This window comes from Homo sapiens, chromosome X (assembly GCF_000001405.40).
Source record: "Homo sapiens chromosome X, GRCh38.p14 Primary Assembly".
Lineage (NCBI taxonomy): Eukaryota > Metazoa > Chordata > Mammalia > Primates > Hominidae > Homo > Homo sapiens.
Genome location: NC_000023.11, coordinates 139,821,696 through 139,844,425, shown reverse-complemented (window position 1 = coordinate 139,844,425; position 22,730 = coordinate 139,821,696). Strand labels below are relative to the sequence as shown.

Genomic DNA, 22,730 nt, shown 5'->3' with positions numbered 1-22,730 from the left:
AGGTATTGCAGGGCCACGTGGTATGACACAGTTGGGTGAATTTGATTACACATGCTGTTTATTTTTGCTTCCAGTCTAGTGCTTACCCAGAGCCCTCCACTCTCTGCTACTCCTTGCATTCAACCCTAAACTGAGTCATTTATCATAACCTTTGCTGAACCTTTTGAAGCTGATTTTTCTTTCCTTTTTGCAAGCATTTTGTTTTATTGAAGTCTTGAATGAAGTCACAATGTACTATTCTGTCTTTTGTTCATATGCTAATTAAGAAGTGTTATCTAGTTAGCGTGGCATAGTTCATTTACAAAACTATTCATGGTCATTTTGATTTTATAAGGTTTCTCTCTGTTTCTGTTTCGCAAAGACTGTATATATGTTTTTTAGTTAAACAAAGTTAATGTTAATTTCTTTCATTTGTGCTCCCTGAGTTTCAAGTGTAATAACCCTGCAGATATATTTCACCTATTTGTATTAGAATTATATTTTTTTCCATGGACATCAGTTTTTTTTTTTTTTCTTTGTCAGAAGCAACTAGTTATTGGCAGCAAAGGAATTTATTATTCCATTGTGCTATATAACACAACTAACAATTTTTTTTCAGTATTTACAATATGAAGGCACTGTTTCATAATTGCTTTATAAGTTGTCATCAACATAATCACCCCCTTTGAGACTGGTGGGAAAACTGAGACATCACATGGTTAAGGAGCTTGCCCCAGGTTACATAACTAATAAGTGGCAGAACCAATATTTGAACCCAGATATCTGGCTGTAGAACTGATACACATAGCCAGTATGCTTCTGTTCTTCATCATCCCTTGTACAGGCTCTTTGAAACAACCTGGTAATTGCCATGCTCTATGAAAAAAGGCCATTAAAATTGCAAATATTGGAGTACCTCTGATTTTTGAGCATCAAAAATATACCCATCAGAAGATATTCATGAGACAGTTAAACATTGAGGCTCCAACCTTGTTTATACTATATTTTCATCTCTGGTCATACATAACTTGATGACCCTTGGTGATCTCAAATGACTCTAAATGATACTCTGATTTTGGGGCTAGGCCTGTTTAATCAAATGAGTGAGCCATATCTGTTTGTAATTCTTCCATCCATCCATCTTTCCATCTGTCCATCTATAGAATTCTTCATCTGCACGTAACAGACACTTAGGTGTTACTTATCCTTACTGCAGAAGAAGTCCTGTTGTATCCTAAGAGAATAAGACACAGCTTCAAGAATCACTGGCTGATCACCTTGAGGGGAAGCCAGTTTGTAAGGGTTCGCCAATTTTATGTATCTGCAGCCTTCCATATGTTACAGGGACTCTTAATTAAGCTGCTGAATTTGGCATTAGTTGAACTTTCAGTTTACTTTCAAGGAGAGTCATGCAGACAATTCCAGTCCAAGAGAACAGCAGTTGGGAATAAACTGAGATACTTGGCGAGAAAATGAGGTGGGAGTTGAATTTGATGACAGCAGAGCATTCTTGCTGGAGACTACTAGTGGAAAATGAAGTTAGAATGGCAAGGGAAAGTAAGGTTTGTTAGAGTAGCTCTGAAACCAAGCACAGTATACAACTGAAAATAAAATTCTCTTGTCATTGTATGCAGACTCTAGCTTTGGAGCCTGGCACGTGTGAATTATACAAAGATTTTCAAACTAATTTGATCGTATTCTAGATCACAAGAGGCCAAAATTACCCAACGCTCAGACACATTAATCTCTTGGAAATTTAAGACAAACTCTACGCAGCCCCAGTCAGCCTCTACATTTCAGCAACTCTTATTCCTTTCTTCTGTATTTACTTAGCAGTGCGCTGCAAATATACTTGTATACTTCCTTCACTTATGTCCTACTTGTGTTTCCTGTCAACTCTATGAGATTGTAAACTTGCCTATTGCAGGAATTGATACAGCCCTAGCTCAGAGGTCAGTGAGAGGTAGAATGCAAGCAAAAGGAGAGAAGTGATTGGGCTTCGCCTCAGCCTGTACCTACTACCCAGCTGATACTTTTCACAATGGCAAAAGGTGAAAGAGTGGAAGAAAAGGGGGAGAGTTACTCTATGGCACATGGCAGGAGGAAGATTGGTACCCTTGGAGGGCATGTATGGAATTTAAAACCTGCTCACTTTGGGAGGCTGAGGTGGGCAGATCATGAGGTCAGGAGATCGAGACCATCCTGGCTAACACGGTGAAACCCTGCCTCTACTAAAAATACAAACAAATTAGGTGCGTGTGGTGGCGGGTGCCTGTAGTCCCAGCTACTTGGGAGGCTGAGGCAGGAGAATGGCGTGAGCCTGGAAGGCGGAGCTTGCAGTGAGCCGAGATTGCACCACTGCACTCCAGCCTGGGCGACAGAAGGAGACTGTCTCAAAAAAGCAAAACAAAACAAAACAAAAAAACCTGCTCATGCATTCTGGGCAGGGCAATGCAAGGCAAGATAAGTGGAGCCTTGGATAGCAATGGGCCTGTCTTTGAGTTATAACCTGATAAGGTCCTAGTCCCAGGAAAATAGCTAGGGGAACGAGGAAGAAATAACTTTCCTTAGGGAAATCACTTAAAAAAATCACCTTACTAGGTTCCATTGTTTCTGAGCTCCAGAGCAAGATGGAGTGTGTATATATGTGTATGTATGTATAATGTTTTAAAAACTTTATTGTTTATTGCCTTTTCCATCCCAAGGTACCAGAAAATTTCATAAGTGGCAATTTTTGTGATTGAAATATACCACTTAGGTGTTCTAGTTGTTCTTCTACACAAGATTCACTGTAGTCTCAGCATGGGGATGGCAAAAGCTGATAGGAGAAAATTTTCTCTCTTGTCTTTTGAACATCAATGAAAGGAGAGTTTTCCTTACCTCTCTGCAGCTCTTGAATGTTGAATTTTAATATTCTCATTTGGAGTTTCATTTGAACAAATAGCTTTCTTCTCCAAGCCCTTGTACCACCAATCATTTCAACCTGCAGTTCTCCTTCTCTACTCCACCTCACCCTTTGTAGAAACAATTCTTTGGTCTTAGAAAGGTTTAGACACAGTTCATTAACTAGTATTTTGTATTTATAAAAATTCAAGTGTGTGGATGAAAACTACTGAAACAAGTCTTGTTGTCTAATTGTAGTAGAGTATCTAGGTTTAGAGTTGATTGCCCAGTAGTGTTGTAGAGACTATGACCCAACAAATAGTGCCGTTGATTACATGCTGTTATTTACTCATTTATTAGTGAGCACTTTGTGTGGGCTTCATTACTAATTGTTATGTCAAATATCTGTATAAATAAATAATATCTGTTAATCATTGAGATGTTATTCTTTAAAATGTAATTTTCAGTTTGTAAAAAGTGCAAAGATAATGTTATATCACACCAGTGTCCTTTGACGGCTTTGGCAGAGTCTTTAAAAAAATTTTTTTTATTTCCATAGATTTTTGGGGAACAAGTGGTATTTGGTTACATGAGTAAGTTCTTTAGTGTGATTTGTGAGATTTTGGTGCACCCATCACCCGAGCAGTATACACTGAACCCAATTTGTAGTCTTTTATCCCTCACCCCCTTCCCACCCTTCAGTCTTTTTTTTTTGTATGAGACTTTATATAGGTTAGTGATATTTCTCCCTGCTCTGCTTGCAGAGAAATCAATGCTGTGAAAAATACCCTGCCCCAGTTTATGATTATTAAGTGAGATAAACTTAAAAAGAGAACAGCTCATGACTGGCTGATTTGAATGTTTGTCTTATGCCCAGCCTCTGTTCCATGGTACACACTAGTGCCAGATGATAGGCCCTTCTGAAAACCTTTTACAATTGTCCTTGTATTTTATGGCAGGATATGTTCACAGAAAATTTTCTGTAAGTCAAAATAATGTAAATTGAATCTGATTTTCTTCACAGAAACAATATTACATTGGGGATTATATCTCTGGCCTAAAGCCTGACTTTTTATAAAAATAGAAATAGCTGTAACCATCATTTTAATCAACTGTTTAATCAGCTGGAAATGATGAATCTGAATACTGTTCAGGAGAAAATTGTCTGAAGTATGTTTAAAATCAGTTAACAAGGCATCACAACAACCAGTCACATTAAATTATGTTTAATGAACTAAAGTGTCGTAGTAGACTATACAAAGTTTTTGTCATAATCACTGCCTTGTTTTTACTGAAACTAATTAGAAGGTGGTTTTTCTTAAAGCAGTTTCTGCAAAGTCAAGGACTTCTCACAGGATTTCTTTTAGTAAATTTTGATAGGTATGCTTGAGGAGACTTTTGGGGGAGACTTTGAAGAGACTTGGTGTTTCGGCTTTTTGAGAAACTGAATTGAGATTTTCTTCATGCTTTGCTTTGCTCATTGTAAATTCCCTGTAGCAGACATAGATTTTGGAGAACAAATTGTTGGTCTGTCTTCATTTTGATTGTCACCAGAGAAGGGTTAATGATAAAATTATGGTTGTTGAGATCTGAAGGATTATTATCAGCAGGTAAAGAGGGAAGAGTATTCTATGCCGAGGGAAACAGTGGAATACTCAGGGACAAGAAGGGTCCTCCGGCTTACCTGGAATGGAAAAAAGGCCAATGGGTTATAATAGAGAAAGAGAAGAGGAGGGCAAATGAAGTTGAGGAAATAGGAGGAAGAGACCAGACTGTGTATAAAACTTTGCAGGTCAGAATAAGGATTTTAATTTTCAGTTCTAAGATCAATGGGAAACGATTCAAGTGGGGCCTGGAGGAGCAATATGGTTAGGTTTGTGTTGCACATGGTTGTTGTGTGGTCCTAGCTAGGTTAGCCCTCAGGGTACTGTGCAGCCATCATTCTTGGCACTTAGCTGAGTTGTATGAGCATTTGATGAATGCCCGGTCTCCCCTCTCCCTATACTCTAAGCTCCTTGAAGGCAAGGACTATGTCTTTTTTACTCATCACCCTGTCTCTAGTGCTGTACACATAGTAGGAGCTCAATAAATATTGGTTGAATGGATGCATCAACTGTGTTAACGGATTTACCTTGTGACCCACTATTAGGCAAGGGAGTTACTTTTTTATTGAGGTGAAATTCACATAACATAAAACTAACCATTGTAAAGTGAACAATCTATTGGAATTTAGTACATTTATATTTTTTATAACCACAAACTCGTACCTAGTTCCGGAACATTTTTATCTCCTTAAAAGGAAACTCCATACTTATTAAACAGTTACTCTGCATTCTCCCCTCCCCCTAGCACCTGGTAACTACCAATCTGCTTTCTGTTTTTATGGATTAACCTATTCTGCATATTTCATATGATGGAATTATGCATTATGTGACCTTTTGTGTCTGGCTTCTTTCACTTGGCATAATGTTTTTGAGATTCATTCACATTGTGGAACATATCAATGCTTCATTCATTTTTATGGCTGAATAATATTTCATTGTATGGATATACCACATTGTGTTTATCCATTCATCAGTTATGGACATTTGGGTTGTTTCCACCTTTTTTTTTTTTGAGACAGAATCTTGCTCTGTTGCCCTGGCTGGAGTGCAGTGGTGTGATCTCAGCTCAATGTAATCTCTGCCTCCTGGGTTCAAGCGATTTTCCTGCCTCAGCCTCCCAAGTAGCTGGGATTACAGGCATCTGCCACCACGCCTGGATAATTTTTGTATTTTTAGTAGAGACAGGGTTTCACCATGTTGGCCATGCTGGCTCGAACTACTGACCTCAGGTGATCCGCCCACCTTGGCCTCCCAAAGTACCGTGATTACAGGCATGAGCCACTGCACCAGACTGTTTCCACCTTTTGAATAGTTCTGCTATGATCATGCATGCACAAGTTTTTGTTCTGATACCTGTTTTCAATTCTTTTGGGCCTATGCTTAGGAGTGGAATTGTGGGGTCATATGGTAATTCTATGTTTAACTTTTTAATGAACTGCCAAACTGTTTCTCATAGGAGCTGAATCATTTTACAGTCCCACCAGCAATGTATGAGGGTTCCAATTACTCCACATCCTTGTCAACACTTGTTATTTTCTTTTTTTTTTTCTTACAGGCTGTTCATTCACGCCATCTGGAATGCATGAATGAACTTCCCCTTATTTGCAGTGAATATTTCATTCCTTGGTACTTTATTACATGGTTATTTCACAGTATGAAAATAGAAGTAAAACTCAAAGGTATATTGGACAGAATTGGATTCTAAATTCATAAAATTTGAGTCCAACAGCATTCTGGTACATTGCTTTCTGAGATAGACCTGCAACTATTAGGAGAACCCCAGTTTTTCTCTTATATACTATTTTTAGGATTGAAGAAGCAGTCTAAAGGACTAATCTCACATCCAAAGAAGTTTCTTCCTTCTGAACATATGTATTGGTTAAATCATTTAACAACTCTTCTATTGGAGGTGTCTTTTGAGAGTTGCATTGAGAATTATGAGGAAGCCCCATGTAGTCTTATAGCTGAACGTTCTCATCATAGGCAATTTTCTATTGGTTTGACACATTTGTATTTCTACCCTTCTCCTTTTTGTTTTTGTTTTGTTTTAGTTTAGCTGTGCTCAGCATGCAGGGAATAGTTGTATTTGCTTATAGTAAATGACTGGGAACCAAGCTGAGATGTCAGCAGAACATTGTAGAATACTCAAGTACACTGACTATATAAAGATCATTCAGATTCCTGTCCATCTGAAGTAATCAGACTATCAGTCCACCATTAATTTGAGGTCTATCAGTCCTCATTAATAATGCTACCAATGCAAATGCACTTTAATTCCATTCTTTGAGGACTGCCTATATTTCATTGGGTTCTGCCATTTTTCTTCCCTTAAGTAATGCTATAACTATTTTCTATTTGACAGCATGTAGAACATTTTACATCATATCCGAGTTTACAAAGTAGAGTAAGAATAGACTTAGAATTGTATTAACATGTTGCATACACATGTGCTTTTTATAATAATGCAAACTGGAGTGAAATGCATTGCAGTCAGGAGAATTGAGTCTTTATGAACTTTTAATTTTTGAGTACTAGTCATAACTAAGCTGCTTGCATTCCACTGAGCAAAGGTTTCCTAATGAAGAAACCTACAACTACTGTGTTGTTTCATGATTTAGCTGAAAGTATTATTTTCTGTTTAAAGCTTCCTAGGCATTTTTTAATGTTGGCTGTAAATTCTTATAATGGTTCTAGATACCCCCTATGTGTGCTTTAGAAATACCCCATTGCTATTTTCAGTCATACACTTGAATAGAACTTCTAACTACTGTTTGTCTTATTTGGTAAAAAACATTTGTTTTGTGGAAAATTGTTTGGTTTGAGGGTGGTTTGGCCTTTAGTGTGAGTGGTGTTTTTGTGAAGTCATGCGTTTTGAATGTATCCACTCTAATAAAAATTATTTCAAATGGCTTTATCTCTCCTCCCTGTCCCTGTGTGTGTGTGTGTGTATGTGTGTGTGTGTTTTCATTTTACAGCAGAAATCCTGTGTATAGGTAAGATTTGTATTCTAAGAGGTTTATTAATTTTAAAAATTGCCCTCATGGTAGTTAATTCTAACCTGATTTACTTGCAGTTGTTTGTACCTTGGTTGCTGGGAAATGGATTTCATTCTGTTTTATCAGAGGAGTAAACAATTTCCCTAGGGTAATAGGCACATTTGAGAAGGCATTCATTTTTTCACATTTAAAGATTACCATTAAGTAAATTGCTACTGTGGTGCTTTAAGTGGGCATCTTAAAAGCCTGAAAGAACCAATGTACCCTCTAGTGTACCAAAATTAGCACCTTGAAGGAGTTTTATCTAGTCAGTTTGTACTTAAACATTTTTTTTAAAGGCATTAGCACATGAACCTTTCCCTGGACTTTGTGACTTTTCATGAGGTTTTATTTATTTTTCCCTCCTTTTCTGCTTTGAAGCCTGAAATTGTTTTTGTTTGTTTTTGTTTTGGAGAGAGTCTCGTTCTGTCACCCAGGCTGGAGTGCAATGGTGCGATCTCGGCTCACTGCAACCTCCGGCTCCCAGGCTCAAGCGATTCTCCTGCCTCATCCTCCTGAGTAGCTGGGATTACAGGCACCTGTGACCACTCCTGGCTAATTTTTGTATTTTTAGTAGAGGCAGGTTTTGCCATGTTGGCCAATCTGGTCTCGAACTCCTGACCTCAGGTGATCTGCCCACCTCGGCCTCCCAAAGTGCTGAGATTACAGGCATGAGCCACCGTGCCCGGCCCAAACCTGCAATTTTTTATTCCACATATATTGTCTTCTCGTGTGTATTAGTTTGTAAGTTACTCTTTATCCTGAAACAGGGAGTAATTTCTTCCTCACCCTTGAATGCTTTTTTTTTGTTTTAGGGGACTAGGCTGAAACAGGTGGCAAGTGATGCAACATCCAAAGCCACTTTTCAAGCTTTTTTTTTTTTTTTTTTTTTTTTTTTGAGATGGAGTCTCGCTCTGTCACCCAGGCTGGAATGCAGTGATGCGATCTCAGCTCACTGCAACCTCCGCCTCCCGGGTTCAAGTGATTCTCCTGCCTCAGCCTCCCAAGTAGTTGGAATTACAGGTGTGTACCACCACGCCTGGCTAATTTTTGTGTTTTTAGTAGAGACGGAGTTTTGCCATGTTGGCCAGGCTAGTCTCAAACTCCTGACCAAGTGATCCACCCACCTCGGCTTCCCAAAGTGCTAGGATTATAGGTGTGAGCCACCACACTCGGCCGGCCACATTTCAAGTTTTATTGCTAGAAAGTCCGTCCCCACTAGCTGGGTGCGGTGGCTCACGGCTGTAATCCCAGCACTTTGGGAGGCCGAGGCGGGTGGATCACCTGAGGTCAGGAGTTCGAGACCAGCCTGGCCAACATGGCGAAAACCCGTCTTTACTAAAAATACAAAAATTAGCTGGGTGTGGTAGTGGGCGCCTGTAATCCCAGCTATTCAGGAGGCTGAGGCAGGAGAACTGCTTGAACCCAGGAGGCGGAGGTTGCAGTGAGCCGAGATCACACCATTGCAGTCCAGCCTGGGTGACAAGAGCGAAACTCCGTGTCAAAGAAAATCTGGCCCCACTTTCCCCTGCTTCATTTTAGATCAGATTATTTAGTCAAGTCCTCTCCAAGTTACATATGAAGAAACCAATGCCAGGACTTCCCCAAGACACATACAGACCGATTGATGGTAGAAGGCTATTAGGACCTTGATCTCCTGGTTTCTTGCCTCTCTTTATTAAGCTTTAGAAGCAAAAACACCCACCTGGGATCATAGCCAAATACTTAATTTTATCAATTTTTGGCATACATGGATAGAAATTGTCACAAATACAACACTGATCTCACCTCATAACCTTGAGTGCTTTGCCAGTATAGCTGATTGTGAATACCATGTGTTTTTTCTACCAGTGGACTCTAGCATAGATGTAGCCCAGATATGTAGACATGTTTGCTGAGATAAGAGGTATATTACAGTAGCATTGCCCAAAACATGTTGTACAGAATGTGATGTCACTGGATTTTCCTTGTGGGAAGAAAAGAGTTCTGTGGTCAAAAAATTTTGGGAAATGCTGACTTACACAAAGTTAAAAGAGGTTTCTTCAAGACTTTATGGAGCTTTTACTACATGGGTATGCATTGTGAATAACCAGGAGGAGGGGTGGGCTTCCCCTTTCTCTAAGGAACCTCATTATTAACTTGTTCCATGTAATTCAGTCTGGGGAACATTGAGTGTGGTGTCCTGATATTCTTGCCATTTATCTTACTGTGGCATTCCTAGTTGGCAGTACTCAAAGGCACATTAAAATTTAACAATCTAAACAATTTTTATTTATATGTAAGGCATTACTGAATATTTGTCGTGCTCTTCTTTTTATGCTTCAATATCCAAGTTATACATTACATTTCAAACGTCTTGCTAATTTATATAGTCTCTTTTAAGCATGTTTTAGGAATAATTACAATCAGATCATCAGTTATATTTATAGCAGCATCCAGTCTTTATAGTGCACAGAAGCTTCAAATCCAAAGCTTTGGGGAGAGGGAAGAGATGATGGAGAGACAGTGTCAATAATTCCAGTGCAGTTCCCAAGTGCCTGTGTACTCTGCCACAAAGGGAGAAACGAATTCCTATTTTTACTGTCAGGATGTCAGATCAACAGTTCCAAAATACTAACGGTATATGTTCTGGACAGCAGCCTCCATAAGCTCCTCCAGTGGCCCTCAGTTGTCATCAAACATGGCACTTGTCAAGCTCCCTGGCTAACTCTAGTCCTCTTCATGAACACTGAAGAACAGTGTTTTCAAAACCAAGCACTCTCTGCTAGTGGACCATAATTCATCCTGCCCCTTTAGGCAGGGGTAGCACCAAAATTTCCCGTGCCTCTTCTGTAGAGCCAGAAACTTTCTTGCTTTAAATAAAACATTTACATGTGGGTTATGTTGAGGACGTTGCCTAGTTCCATGCTGGCCCAGTTGCTAGAGTTTCAATATTCCTATAGTTTGTTAACATCTGCAAACCTCATCCTTTGTTCCTGCGAATAGTTTACAGTCATTTAAAGTGATTTCTGGGTGTTTCTGTTAATCCTGCTGTAAGCAGTCTCTTACGTTATGTGACCTTATTTTATAGATAAGGAAATGAGGCTCAACTAAGCCATTTTCTCCAGGTCTCATTTTGAAGAAAAAAAAAATGTAAATAATATTTCTCAGAGTCATAACTGTCTTGCTTTCCCTGTCCTCTCCAGATTTTGCCCTGAAAGCCTTCCCTGTAGGAAGAATGTTTGTTTTTTTTTAAAGAGATGGGGTCTTTACTCTGTTGCCCAAGCTGGAGTGCAGTGGTGATCATAGTTCACTGTAACCTCGAACTTCTGGGCTTAAGTGGTCCTCCTGCCTCAGGTTCCCTAGTAGGTAGGACTACAGGTGTGTGCCAGCATGCCCCGCTAATTAAAAAAAATTTTTTTTTCGTAGAGACAGGGGTCTCACTATGTTTGACCAGGCTGGTCTGGAACTCTGGGCCTCAAGCAAAGCATTGGGATTACAGGTCCAAGCCACTGTGCCAGGTCCAGGAAGAATGCGCCCCCCGCCCCGAAACCCTTTACTTTCTTCATTTATTCAACTAAGCCATGCTCCACAATGGAAACTTGCTTTTTATCTACCTCTTTTGTTGGGGATGTTAAGAAAAGTTATAGCCTGGATGTGCTCTTTAAATTAATTACATTTACAGCTCGGGCAGTTTTTAAGCCAGTTTGCTTTTTGTATGGTATTTAACAGTTTACTTGGAAAAATGCATTCATTGGTTTTGCTGGACACACTCCAACTTGTATTTGAACTGGCAGACCTTTCTAGGAAACATCACTTTTATAGTAATGACACTATCACTGAAAAAAGAAATAAAACCCTGTTCAGGTCGTCAGACACCAGTTTTACAATATTTTTTCTTTTGCTCCAGCTAGAGTTTCTTATCTCTTCTTAAACTGTAATAAAAATTCTTCTGTGGTGATCTAGAAAGTAATTTTTGGATGAGAATTTATCTCTTCTAGGTAATGATGCTGGTCAAGGCATTTTTCTCCCTAATATCCACTGGCTTTTTTCCTTGCGATTGCTAGATATTACTGTTGGCTGCTGAGATATAACTTTCTTACCTCTGAGATATCTAAATAGTGAGAAAAGTCTTCCATCCCTAAGGGACCTTTCCACATAAACCATCTGCTTAGGCCTTTGTTGCATATATTTTTGAAGCTTGAATTTACTGTATTACAGTGACTCTTAGGGTGGAGAAACTGTATCATAGTGAATACTTAGATTATGTCTCTTCCTCTTAAACTACAACTAAAAGTTCAATTCAACTTTCCTCCGAAGCTTATTGTTTAGCCCCACTTTTTATTGTGGTCCATTTATTGTAGGCAGGGATTAGAAAAGAACTTCCCAAGATGAGGAAAAATTACTGTGTGGTGTAAGATACTGATATTTAAAATAATAACACCTTAAAATACAGAAGTTACAAAGGCAAATCAGGTCTTTGGAGAAGAATAACAAAAAGATATGAAATGGTGCAATAATGGGGCTAAGGCCGCCAGAGTACTGCTTTGAGCTCTTAAGGAATAGACTGTCATCTGATGCTTCCTTTGCTGCCTCCCATGGAAGTACAGGAACTAGGCAAGCCATAATTGGCTCACTTCCCAAGTTCTGGGAAACTTTACAAGGATCACAGGGGTTGGTACAAGTTGCTTGATAATCTGCAGCATTCTCTCTGAGATTTAGCTGCCATTGTGTTGCCAAATTTCTGCATGTCAGTATGCAGATGGTCCCATCTCTCCCTCCAGCCTCTGAGGTTTGTAATCTATATTTATTTCTCCTCTTTTCAGCCAGGTTGGGTTTTGAGGTCTTGGGGCCTGCTTTATTCCTGCTTTTTATTTGCATGTATATTTTTATCCATTTCCTGAGGGTAATCGTAAATGGTTAGCTGGATTTTCAGCCTCACTGCTCCTATCTTTAAGAGTTAAGAATCTCCTTATTTAGAGTTTTAAATTTTGTTAAGTGTTTGGAATGAAAGGCTGTGTGTAGAGATGGGTAGGGTGAAAGTGAAAGGGAACTTCTGAGGTTTTGTATACTTGCTGGTTAAGTTTCTGTGCATATTGTCAGGCTTTGGGTTAGGAAAGATTCTGTTAATAAGGGAAGTTGAGTTGCTGAGACCCCAAAGGAACACTGAGAGTCGCAGGTTACTTCCTATAAATGGAAGAACCTGAATCATTAAAAGATAAAATTCCTGTTAGAATCTTGAATCACAGAATGTTTACAGTATTTTTGATCCATCAACTTTCTATTAGCAATCCTTTAATGAAGCTGCATTTCAGTCTTTAGAGCCACAATTTCTGAGCCCTGAAGTTCTTGGAGTAAGGGCATGGTGGGGGAAGGGGGATCAGATTGGGAATACTTAGAATTGATTGTCCCTGGTGAAATTAAACTGCTCAGTGGATCACTTTGAGATAATGAAAGGTCCACTCTGAGCTTCCAAACAAGGCATTGTTCTTATCCAAATCCTCATGGTCAGTCTTTTTCTTAAGTGTTGTGCTTGCTGATTTAGGTGTTTGTGTGAGGCTTAATATCCATTTCCTGTAGTAGTTTTTTTTTTTCAATTAAATGTGAAGCCATTGGGTAATGCCTAATTAGAGAAATCTTTGTGTTTAGGGATAAACTTTATGTATTCATTTGTCCTTTGGTCAGGTGTTTGAGAATTTCAGTTAATATGACTGTAATTAAGCTTTAAAGGCAGAACAACACAAAATGCCCCATCAGTCTTGCTTCACTTCCTTTGGCAAAAGGAGAGACAGCTTAATCACTTCAGAAGTTGCAGTAAAAGCAAAATCTGAAAAGTGCAATTTTAAGGATCATTTTAGAGTTATGATTGTAAATTACACATTAAGTTTATTCATTTTTGCTTGTTATAATGGAGTGGGCTTGGAAACCTCAGCAATTTGACCACCGAATACATTGTAGTTATTTTAACCAAGAAGCTTAATACACTGGAAATGTTTCCTGGCACTGTAGTGATCTCCTCCCCATACCCCCACCCCTTCAGCCCTAGTATGGAAATGCTGACTTCTGGGAGCATTTTAGTAGACATCTGAAATTTTGATGAAATGCTCTTTCAATTTTGAATTTGGCCTTTTTAAGACACTATGCTGTTCAAAAATATTCCTGCTTCAGAGAAGAAAATAGCTTTGGGCTGGAGAGTGGAGAACCATTTTAAATCATTGCCAAGTCTTCAGATTTTAATAAGAAATTTTTTTGTTCATTTTTGAGCAAATACTTTTATTTGCTGTGGTTGCTTACAGAAAGCAGTTCGATGACCAATAAAAGTAATGCTGTAACTGCCAGGGATTACGTCGGTTTTAAGATTATTTGCTGATAATCCAAGTAGCTTTGCATTATATCAGGGCCTGTAATTCTCATTATCAGTGATCTGAATAATTGATGGGAGATAACCACATGCAAAATAAATTGTCGAAGGGGAATCTTACTTTGCGAGCAGCTTAAAATGGTTGGACGGAACACTGAGGGTTATTTGTATTTTTAACCTTTGGAAAGCAAATTGTTTAAATTATTTAAAGAAATAGTGCAAGATTATGGCTGGCATACTAAAAACTTGCAGGATGTTATTTAAGGACGATCACTGTTTGAAAGAGTCTGTGGCAGTAATTCTTAGCTGTGCTTGCAAATTAGAATTGTCACCTGGGGAGCTTCCAGAAAAATTAAATATTAAATAAAAGAACCAGGCATCAGTATTGTGTTTAAATCCACTGTGTGACCAGGATTAAGAGTCAAAGATCTATGGCTAACTCATAAATATAAGTTTGCCAGCAAATGGAAAGGATATAGAGGTAGGCTTTATTTCAGATCCTTTTGCCAGCTTTTATAGTAACAGTCTTGTATTGAGGTCTCTGTTTTTCTTCAGTTCTTATCTAGTCAGGTCTGGAGGCAACCAAGGAACAAATTTTATTTCCAATGGCTTTTCATTTTTTTATGACTAGCAAAGACATAGGATTTTAAGATGGTGCCAGTTAAATAATTACTGTGTTAGGTTTTTTATTGAGAGGCCATTTTGGGGTATAAATTACTTGCTTTATTTTTTTTTACAGCATTCAGTTTATACTATGGAGGTATAAATTAGGAGTACAAAAGGTTGATTTTTATCTTGAGAAAGAAATTTACATTGCTTTCTCTGTTAATTCATATATTGTAAACATATTTTTTAATATTTGCCATACTTTATTATGTAGTGTGATGTGTCATTAAAATAGAGTCAGTACCAGCATATTTCCAGTTTTAAGAAATGCTGTTCTTAAGGACAATTGAATGGGAAGCAGTTCAGCACAGGATGGACTCCTAATGAATTACAATTCATTACGAGGTGCCAGGAATCACACACTCCCACTCCAGACTACACTGCGTGCCATCCAAATGGGAATTTTAAAAATGATTTCTACTTAGCGTTTCTCTGCTTTGGCAAAGACACCTACATTATTCAAAATCACAGGAACTAACACCACTGTTTTTAACACTCTATATTGGCAGCAGGTGGGCAATTACATTGAATTTACTTGAGTTCAGCATTGCTATTTTTTATGTGAACCAAATATTATTATACAGTTGCAGGAAATTCCACCAGCCATTGCAGTTTCATCAGCTTTTAGGGTGAAACAGGCACGGAAAAGACACCTACTTCATACTACCCCACCCCCAGTCTCAGGCACGTCTCAACCCAAACCTGTTTAGGGTAAAGAGACTGTAAAATGCTATTTTGGAAAATGCTCAGGAGTGGACATTCTGCTGCTTCTTTCAGGCTTCTGTTTCATCATCTAACAGCAATCACTGCCGGGATGTGCACACACAAAACCCCAAACCTGCATAGTAATTTCAATCCATTTTCTCCAATTTAATGGAGATAGAGGCCACTTAGGCCTTATTCAGAAAAGATCAGAGAGATAGTGTATGAGGAAAGCTCTTAGTGAAACTGGAAATGTCATTCAAATGTAGGGAATTAATAAAAATATCAGTGTGCCTAAAAAAATTGTATTGTGCTTTTTCCTTTTGTTCTTTGGCATGGAATGTAGAAGACAATTCAGAATTGGGAAAGCACTAGTCCATTTCTGTTTTAAGTTAATCAGTGGTTGCTGTAATTGAGGGGAAAAATCTATATTGACAGCACATGACATATCCTACTTCACTGATTCTCTACCTCCTTTGCCTCTTCCCCCTTTCCACTTGTAGAATTAACTAAGAACTTGTATAAAAGGTAACCCTGCCTCATTTACTCTGCAGCCACTTCTTCCTTGTGTGAAAAACTAAACAGCCATATGAATATTAAATTAAAGGTTGCAAATTGCAATGTATACGTGGACTTGGCATTTTCTGTAATTCAAATTGGTACATTATAAGAGTCAGGTCTGTTGTGGAGACCACAGAGAGGCCTTAACCTGCAACAGAAGGTGGGAGCTGGGGTGAAGCCAGATAAACTATACATCTGGCAGGTGCACACACTTTCACTTTTAAGTTTTACAAAATGGATATTATGGAAAATTTGGTGCTCTTATCAGTAAGCTGTGTCAGAACCTGTATATTACAGTTGCAAACAGAGAAGTAAGCCCCTAAATCAAAGCTACCACTTGGTAAAGGTACTGTTTACTGGTTTCCAGGAACTGTGTGAAAATTTATCTATGAATCATTTACTCTTAGCATGCGAAGGACCTTGGACAATCAGTTGTTCTAATGCCTTGTCTTTGGGCAGGCAGATAAATAACTAAGCTATCCAGCATAGATACTTAACTGACTTTTTCCAGGTCTCCAGGGATCCCACAAATTCTCTTAGCACATGCCAGAGTAGCTTTCCAGAGTTATATACAGCCTGAATCTCTTCTACTTCAGTTTGTCCCAGTTACTTTTTGCATGATTCCCTACAAATTTTGAAGGCAATATCATAAGCTTAAATGAAAACGCAAGGCAAAGAGGTTTTATCTGTACTTGGGGGGTGATTTTTAATTTTTAAACGAAGAAATAATTTTCCACATACCATCTACATAAGATGCACAAATTCAGACTGGAGTACTTTCAGACATTGTAGATAATTGGAAGACTACAAGTTCTAAGTAGTCTTGCTTAAAATGATTACTTTGAGGGTGGGATTTATACCTTTGACCTTTAAATAGATCACTGAAAGGAAGGAAAATCTTTGTGACTACATATATTAAAACATTTTAGGTTGGGGAATTATAGTTCTAAAAAATAATGGGAATATATAAATGGGTATTTGTTTCTGTCATGCATCCTTTGACTTATATATGTGGTAGTCTCAGATATGGTAATATAGTACCATACAAGGAGACTGTCCCAAATTTATATAAGAAAAGGGTATTATCCTGATTAAAGTGAAGAGAGTGAGGCCTTAGCAAAATTAAAGGGTGGGATAAAATAGAGCCCAATCTTGAAACTTTTAGGTTCGGTGAGTCTACTTATTAAAAATGTAAAAGGGGCATGAGAAATATATTGTGTGAATTGGAACTTTACAACAATGAGGCTCTGAGAGATTGCAAAATAAACTATCCTGTAAAGCCAAATAACTAGTTTCTTTTTAGAAAAAGTCGATCATTTCTTCAATAGAGGCAGCCATTCTATTTCTGACCTTTACACTTATACACAATTATTTTGTGTTTAGAAGTAATCTGCATTATGCTTTCTGTTCTCTAGTAAGGTAGTTGAAAGGTTGTCCTCAGTAGTTGCATAATAAATGAAATATTCCCAGTCCATTCTTTCGTGAGTTAGTGTGTTGCTAGTGAAGGTTATGGTTAAGATTCATTTGGGCTGTGGATGAAAGAAAAATGATTGGCAGTAAAAATATTGTTTCTCTAGGGTACTTTCTTTAATCATTTTAGAATTGCACTGTTGACCTCAGAACAGTTGGTTCAAACAGCACTTTTACTAATCTTTACTATGTCAGCAAGTAAGAGCTTAATGGATTTTGAATTCCCTAACAAGGTTTTCTCCTCTCCCTACTACTTTCTCGCCAGATTATGGCCCAGCATGCTTGGACAAGAATTATGGGCTTGGTAGAAGTGTGGACAAATGTGATGAAAAACTGAATTTTTTCCCTTTTCTCTTGGTCAGTGTGCTGGAGAAGAGAAACGAGTTGGCACACGCACAGTGTTTGTTGGCAATCATCCAGTTTCGGAAACAGAAGCTTACATTGCACAAAGATTTTGTGATAATAGAATAGTCTCATCTAAGGTAAGTTTTTGTTTTAACTCAATAGATGTTCATATAGTGAATCAGATAATGCATTCTAATTTGTGCTTCTGAGGAAACTGATGCATTTATGTATGTGTACATGTATTTGCATGTATATGGATCATATACCAGCTATAATAAGTATTCCTCTGAAAGACAGTTTATTTAAAAAATCACTTTGTCTTGTTATAGGTGAAAGATCATTCACTTGCCTTCCGTTATGATTCACAGTGCTTGTTGATTATGCATATTACTTTAAACCGTAAAGTTTGCTAAAAATACAAATTACTTACTTGTGCAAAGCTTCCTGAATTACCCTTGAATGGATGAACTAGGATATAAAAGAATGCAAATTCTTTTATAAAAGAATTTGCATTCTTTTGGAGAATGCTGTCCTGGAATGACTTTATTTGCATTTCTTTCTAGTTCCCCTGCCAACCCCTCCACCTCCCATCCCACTTCTCAAGTATTAATAGACTCCTACGTCCCAAAGGGTGCATGCTGCTCAGTACACTGCTTCAGCTGTGATCTGTTAAGAGTTAAGTCACTGCAGCTGTGTCACCGTTTGACTGCATCTTTCTTCAGCATAGTGTAGGACTAAGAGCATTGGCCTGGAAGTTTGAACACCTGTATTTAAATCCTGGCCCAACCACTTACTAGTTGTGTCACCTTGGTCAAATTAATCGCCCCGATTCTAAATGTCCTCGTTGGTGAAATGGGGCTAATACTCTGTGAAACCACTTCTTATAGCTCCTAGTACTCAGTAGTCATCATTCTGCAAGTGTTATTTAGCTAGTCTTTACCTCTGGCTGACCAGGTTAGGTGCTAGGTTGGCCTACTGCCATCTCTTATAGAATGGAATAGATCTTGAAGATTTTCCTCACTTCCTCATGTGCCCTGGCAAGGCAGAGATAAAAGTTGGTGACATTTGGTTCACTGTACACTTGTAATCACTTAGAAACTGAAACACAAAATTATGCCCTTCCTTAAAAATATATGACATTTTGGTTTTCAAATATGCATTTAATTTCTTGTTTGGGCGGTGATACAGTAGTGATCATGTTTTGCTGGGAGATTAACATGTGAAATATGGTCAGGACAGGTGAAAATTTTGTTGCCTAATGAGCAGATATGTAGGCCTATAGAACATTTTATTTTGGATAAAAATGTCTATTTCCTCTTAATCTTACACACTAGTGGCAGAAATTTTATTCTCAGCCAGAGGTTGACATACTTATGCCTAAAATAGTGAATAGTTCTTTTACTGGAAATTTCAGCTCACCTTGTGGTATCCAATTAAATGGTCTGTAGTAGTCCTTTGATTCAGAATTGTGGACTTGTAGAGCTAAATGGTCTTAAGAGGTTAAGGCCAGAGAAATTTAGGCACATGGTCACCAAGCAGAGTTAGTAATAAAACCAGGAGTAGAACTACTTTATAAGGTCTAGTTGCTCTGAATAAAGAGGTCTTTTTACATCATCGTGCTGTTTGGGTTCCTTCCTCATTTTTTTTCTCTCCTCTTGCATTGTGCTTGGCATGGGGCGACAACTCAAACGGTAGCTGCTATTGTTATTTGTGTTTCTGTGATTATTATTACAATAGTGAGTAGTACTATTGATTTCCTCAAGTTCATGTGTTTTGAATGTGTGGGATACTGTCTCCTAAATGGAGGCCTTCAGGTCTACTCCGAAAAGACCAACAATTTCATAATTTGACTTTTTCTTCCTCACATTGTCTTGGCTGTTTGTATTTATACCAGAATTTTTTAAAGGATTATTTTTTCAAAATATACTGTTTATAGAATATGTTAGCTGCCTTCCAACTTTGTAGCAAGTGTTGATTTTCTTTCTCCACCCTTCAGTCATAAAAATAACTATCTTAATTGGATGCCGCTTTTGTTTACAAATACCACCAGTAATGTGACATTATAAATGTTAAGGCAGGGAACACTGAAGACAAACATTTTGACCTACTTTAAGTTTTATTTGCTTATAAAAGTAATGCTTTTTTTGTGGGGGGGAGACAGAGTCTCGCTCTGTCGTCCAGGCTGGAGTTCAGTGGCGCGATCTTGGCTCACTGCAAGCCCCGCCTCCTGGGTTCACGCCATTCTCCTGCCTCAGCCTCCCAAGTAGCTGGGACTACAGGCGCCCACCACCACGCCCGGCTAATTTTTTGTATTTTTAGTAGAGATGGGGTTTCACTGGGTTAGCCAGGATGGTCTCGTGATCCGCCTGCCTTGGCCTTCCAAAGTGCTGGGATTACAGGCGTGAACCACTGCACCCGGCCTAATGCTTTTTGTTTTTTTATCTCCTGGGAACACAAATACTTTCTTTAGAAAAATTTGGCCTCTACAGCCTCACAAACTTTAATGTACTCTGCAGGGATTTTGGAAATCACCAGAATTTTGTAGCTGGTGCAAAACTTGGAAATTCCCTTCTTTAGCAAAAGGAGCATTGATTGTACTCTGCTATGAATTTTAGGATCTTTAGTTTCCATCATGTTTATCTGTTGTGTGTTTTTTTCCTTTAAAAATTTTAAAGGTTTTTTTTAAAAAATTAATTAATTTTTTTTTTTTTTTTTTTGGTATTTTTAGTAGAGACGGGGTTTCACCATATTGGCCAGGCTGGTCACAAACTCCTGGCCTCAAGTAATCCCCCTGCCTCAGCCTCCGAAAGTGCCGGGATTACAGAAGTGAGTCACTGCACCCCGCCCTTTGCCCAGCTTTTAATGGAGTTGATTTTTTTTCTTACTGTTTGAGTTCCTTATAGATTCTGGATATTAGTCTTTTGCCAGAATCATAATTTGTAAATATTTTCTGCCATTCTATAGATTGTCTGTTTACTCTGTTGATTATTTCTTTCGCTGTGCAGCTTTTTAATTTAAGTCCCGTTTGTTTATTTTTGGTTTTCGGGCATTTGCTTTTTTGTCTTCGTCATCAGTTATTTGCCTAGGCTAATGTCCAGAAGAGTTTTTCCTAAGTTTTCTTTGAGCAGTTGACTGCTAACTTTATTATTACTTTAAATATCTACTACTTTATTTTTACCTTTTTCTCTTTCTTTTTTGCTGCTATTCAGACACATTAAAAGTTATTCAGACACATTAAAAGTTATTTGGAGTCTCAAGTTCCTCATCTGCATTTTTAATGCTAAACCATCAGCATTTTTAATGATAAATTGGAAATCTTGGGTAACACAGAACTGGTCAAAACAAGTAAAGTTCTAAAGCCTCCTTTTGCTTAAATGAAATAATTGACTCTCAAAGCTGAGATTCTCTTCAACTTTCCTCCTTTGGGAAATTTGCTTAGTAAGTTTATAAAGTTTTGGTTTCAAATTAAATTAGATGATACATATTTGAGGCAGTGACCCACAACTTTTTCACATAATTTCATCTTTAGTGGCCACACTTGTGTACAGATTATTTAATCCACTACAAAGCATATATAAAATGCATTGTATGTACCGGGAAAGCTGGCGTTTTTTGTTTGTTTGTTTGTTTTTGAGACAAGAGTCTCTGTCGCCCAGGCTGGAATGTAGTGGCGCGCGATTTCAGCTCAATGCAACCTCCGCCTCATGGGTTCAAGCGATTCTCCTGCCTCAGCCTCCCAAGTAGCTGGGATTACAGGCGCCCGCCTGGCTAATTTTTTGTGTTTTTAATAGACACGGGGTTTCGCCATGTTGGCCAGGCTGGTCTCGAACTCCGGACTGCAGGTGATCCACCCACCTCAGCCTCCCAAAGTGCTGGGATTACAGGTGTGAGCCATCATGCCCAGCCCAAAGCTGGCATTTTCTGTATAAATAGTTTTAAACATGTTCTAAATGTCTGGGCTGCTTTTTAAGTTTATAGTTGTACTTAAAGATAGTATAAAAGAGGCCCGGTGCAGTGGCTCACACCTGTAATGCCAGCACTTCGGGAGGCTGAGGCGGGTGAAGTTCGAGACCAGCCTCGGAGATGGTTCAAAGGGAGACCCCGTATCTACAAAAAATACAAAAATTGGCCAGGCGCGGTGGCTCACGCCTGTAATCCCAGCACTTTGGGAGGCCGAGGCGGGCAGATTGCCTGAGTTTAGGAGTTTAAGACCAGCCTGACCAACATGGTGAAACCCCGTCTCTACTAAAAATATAAAAATTAGCCGGGTGTGTTGGCGTATGCCTGTAATTCCAGCTACTCGGGACGCTGAGGCAGGAGAATCGCTTGAACCTGGGAGGCGGAGGTTGCAGTGAGCTGAGATCACACCACTGCACTCTAGCTTGGGTGACAGAGTGAGACTCTGTCTCAAAAAAAACAAACAAACAAACAAACAAACAAAAAAAACCCAAAAAACAAAAACCACACACAACAAAAATTAGCCAGGTGTGGTGGTGTGTGCCTGTAGTCCCAGCTACTCAGGAGGCTGAGGCGGGCGGATTGCTTGAGCCTGGGAGGCAGAGGCTGCAGTGAGCTGGGAACGCGCTACCGCACTCCAGCCTGGGTGACAGTGTGAGACTCTGTTTCAATAAATAAATAAATACTATTTACTGACGTCTCCAAGCAAGAACTAACTTGTAACAAAAACTGAATTCTCATCATTGTGTCTAAAAAACTGCTATACACATTTTCTTCTTGTGATTAACTTTTTTTTTTGCCATAGAGGTCATGCTTGAGATAACATTGTTTTTGATTTGTAGCAACTGACCAAGCTGGAGAATCTACTTTTTAGATAAACAAGTTAATTTGAATAACTTGATGTATATGGCTGTAACTCAATTTCACTTTTAGTTAGAAAACTCTAAAAAGTAGACTTTTCTTGGTCTGCATTAAAATCTTACATTTGTATTATACTAAAAAAGATGTGCTAGAAACTAAGTTTACCTTTTAGTTAAACCAGTAGAGTAAATGGCTAGGGCACAAGTTTTAATAAAGATTTCTTGTATATCTTCTGTGTGCTAAACTATTGTTCTAGGCACCTGTGATAAGGGGACTTAGGACATGCTCCATGATCTCTTAAGAGCTCATGACTTGATGAAGGAGAGA

General features: G+C 38.6%; 1 protein-coding gene across 21 annotated transcripts in view; it reads left to right on the top strand.

Annotated features, from left to right (window-relative positions):
• Positions 1-22,730, top strand: part of ATP11C (ATPase phospholipid transporting 11C (ATP11C blood group)) — a 210,556-nt gene that overhangs the window by 92,478 nt on the left and 95,348 nt on the right. For 17 of the 21 annotated variants that reach the window (XM_047442018.1, XM_047442024.1, NM_001353810.2 and 14 more), the window contains one exon: positions 17,603-17,722. In XM_047442018.1, coding sequence (XP_047297974.1) covers positions 17,603-17,722 — 120 coding nt within the window. Of the gene's footprint in view, positions 1-12,184; positions 12,273-17,602; positions 17,723-22,730 lie in introns of those variants that run through there. The other 4 variants (XM_047442027.1, NM_001010986.3, NM_173694.5 and 1 more) reach the window with 1 other exon arrangement.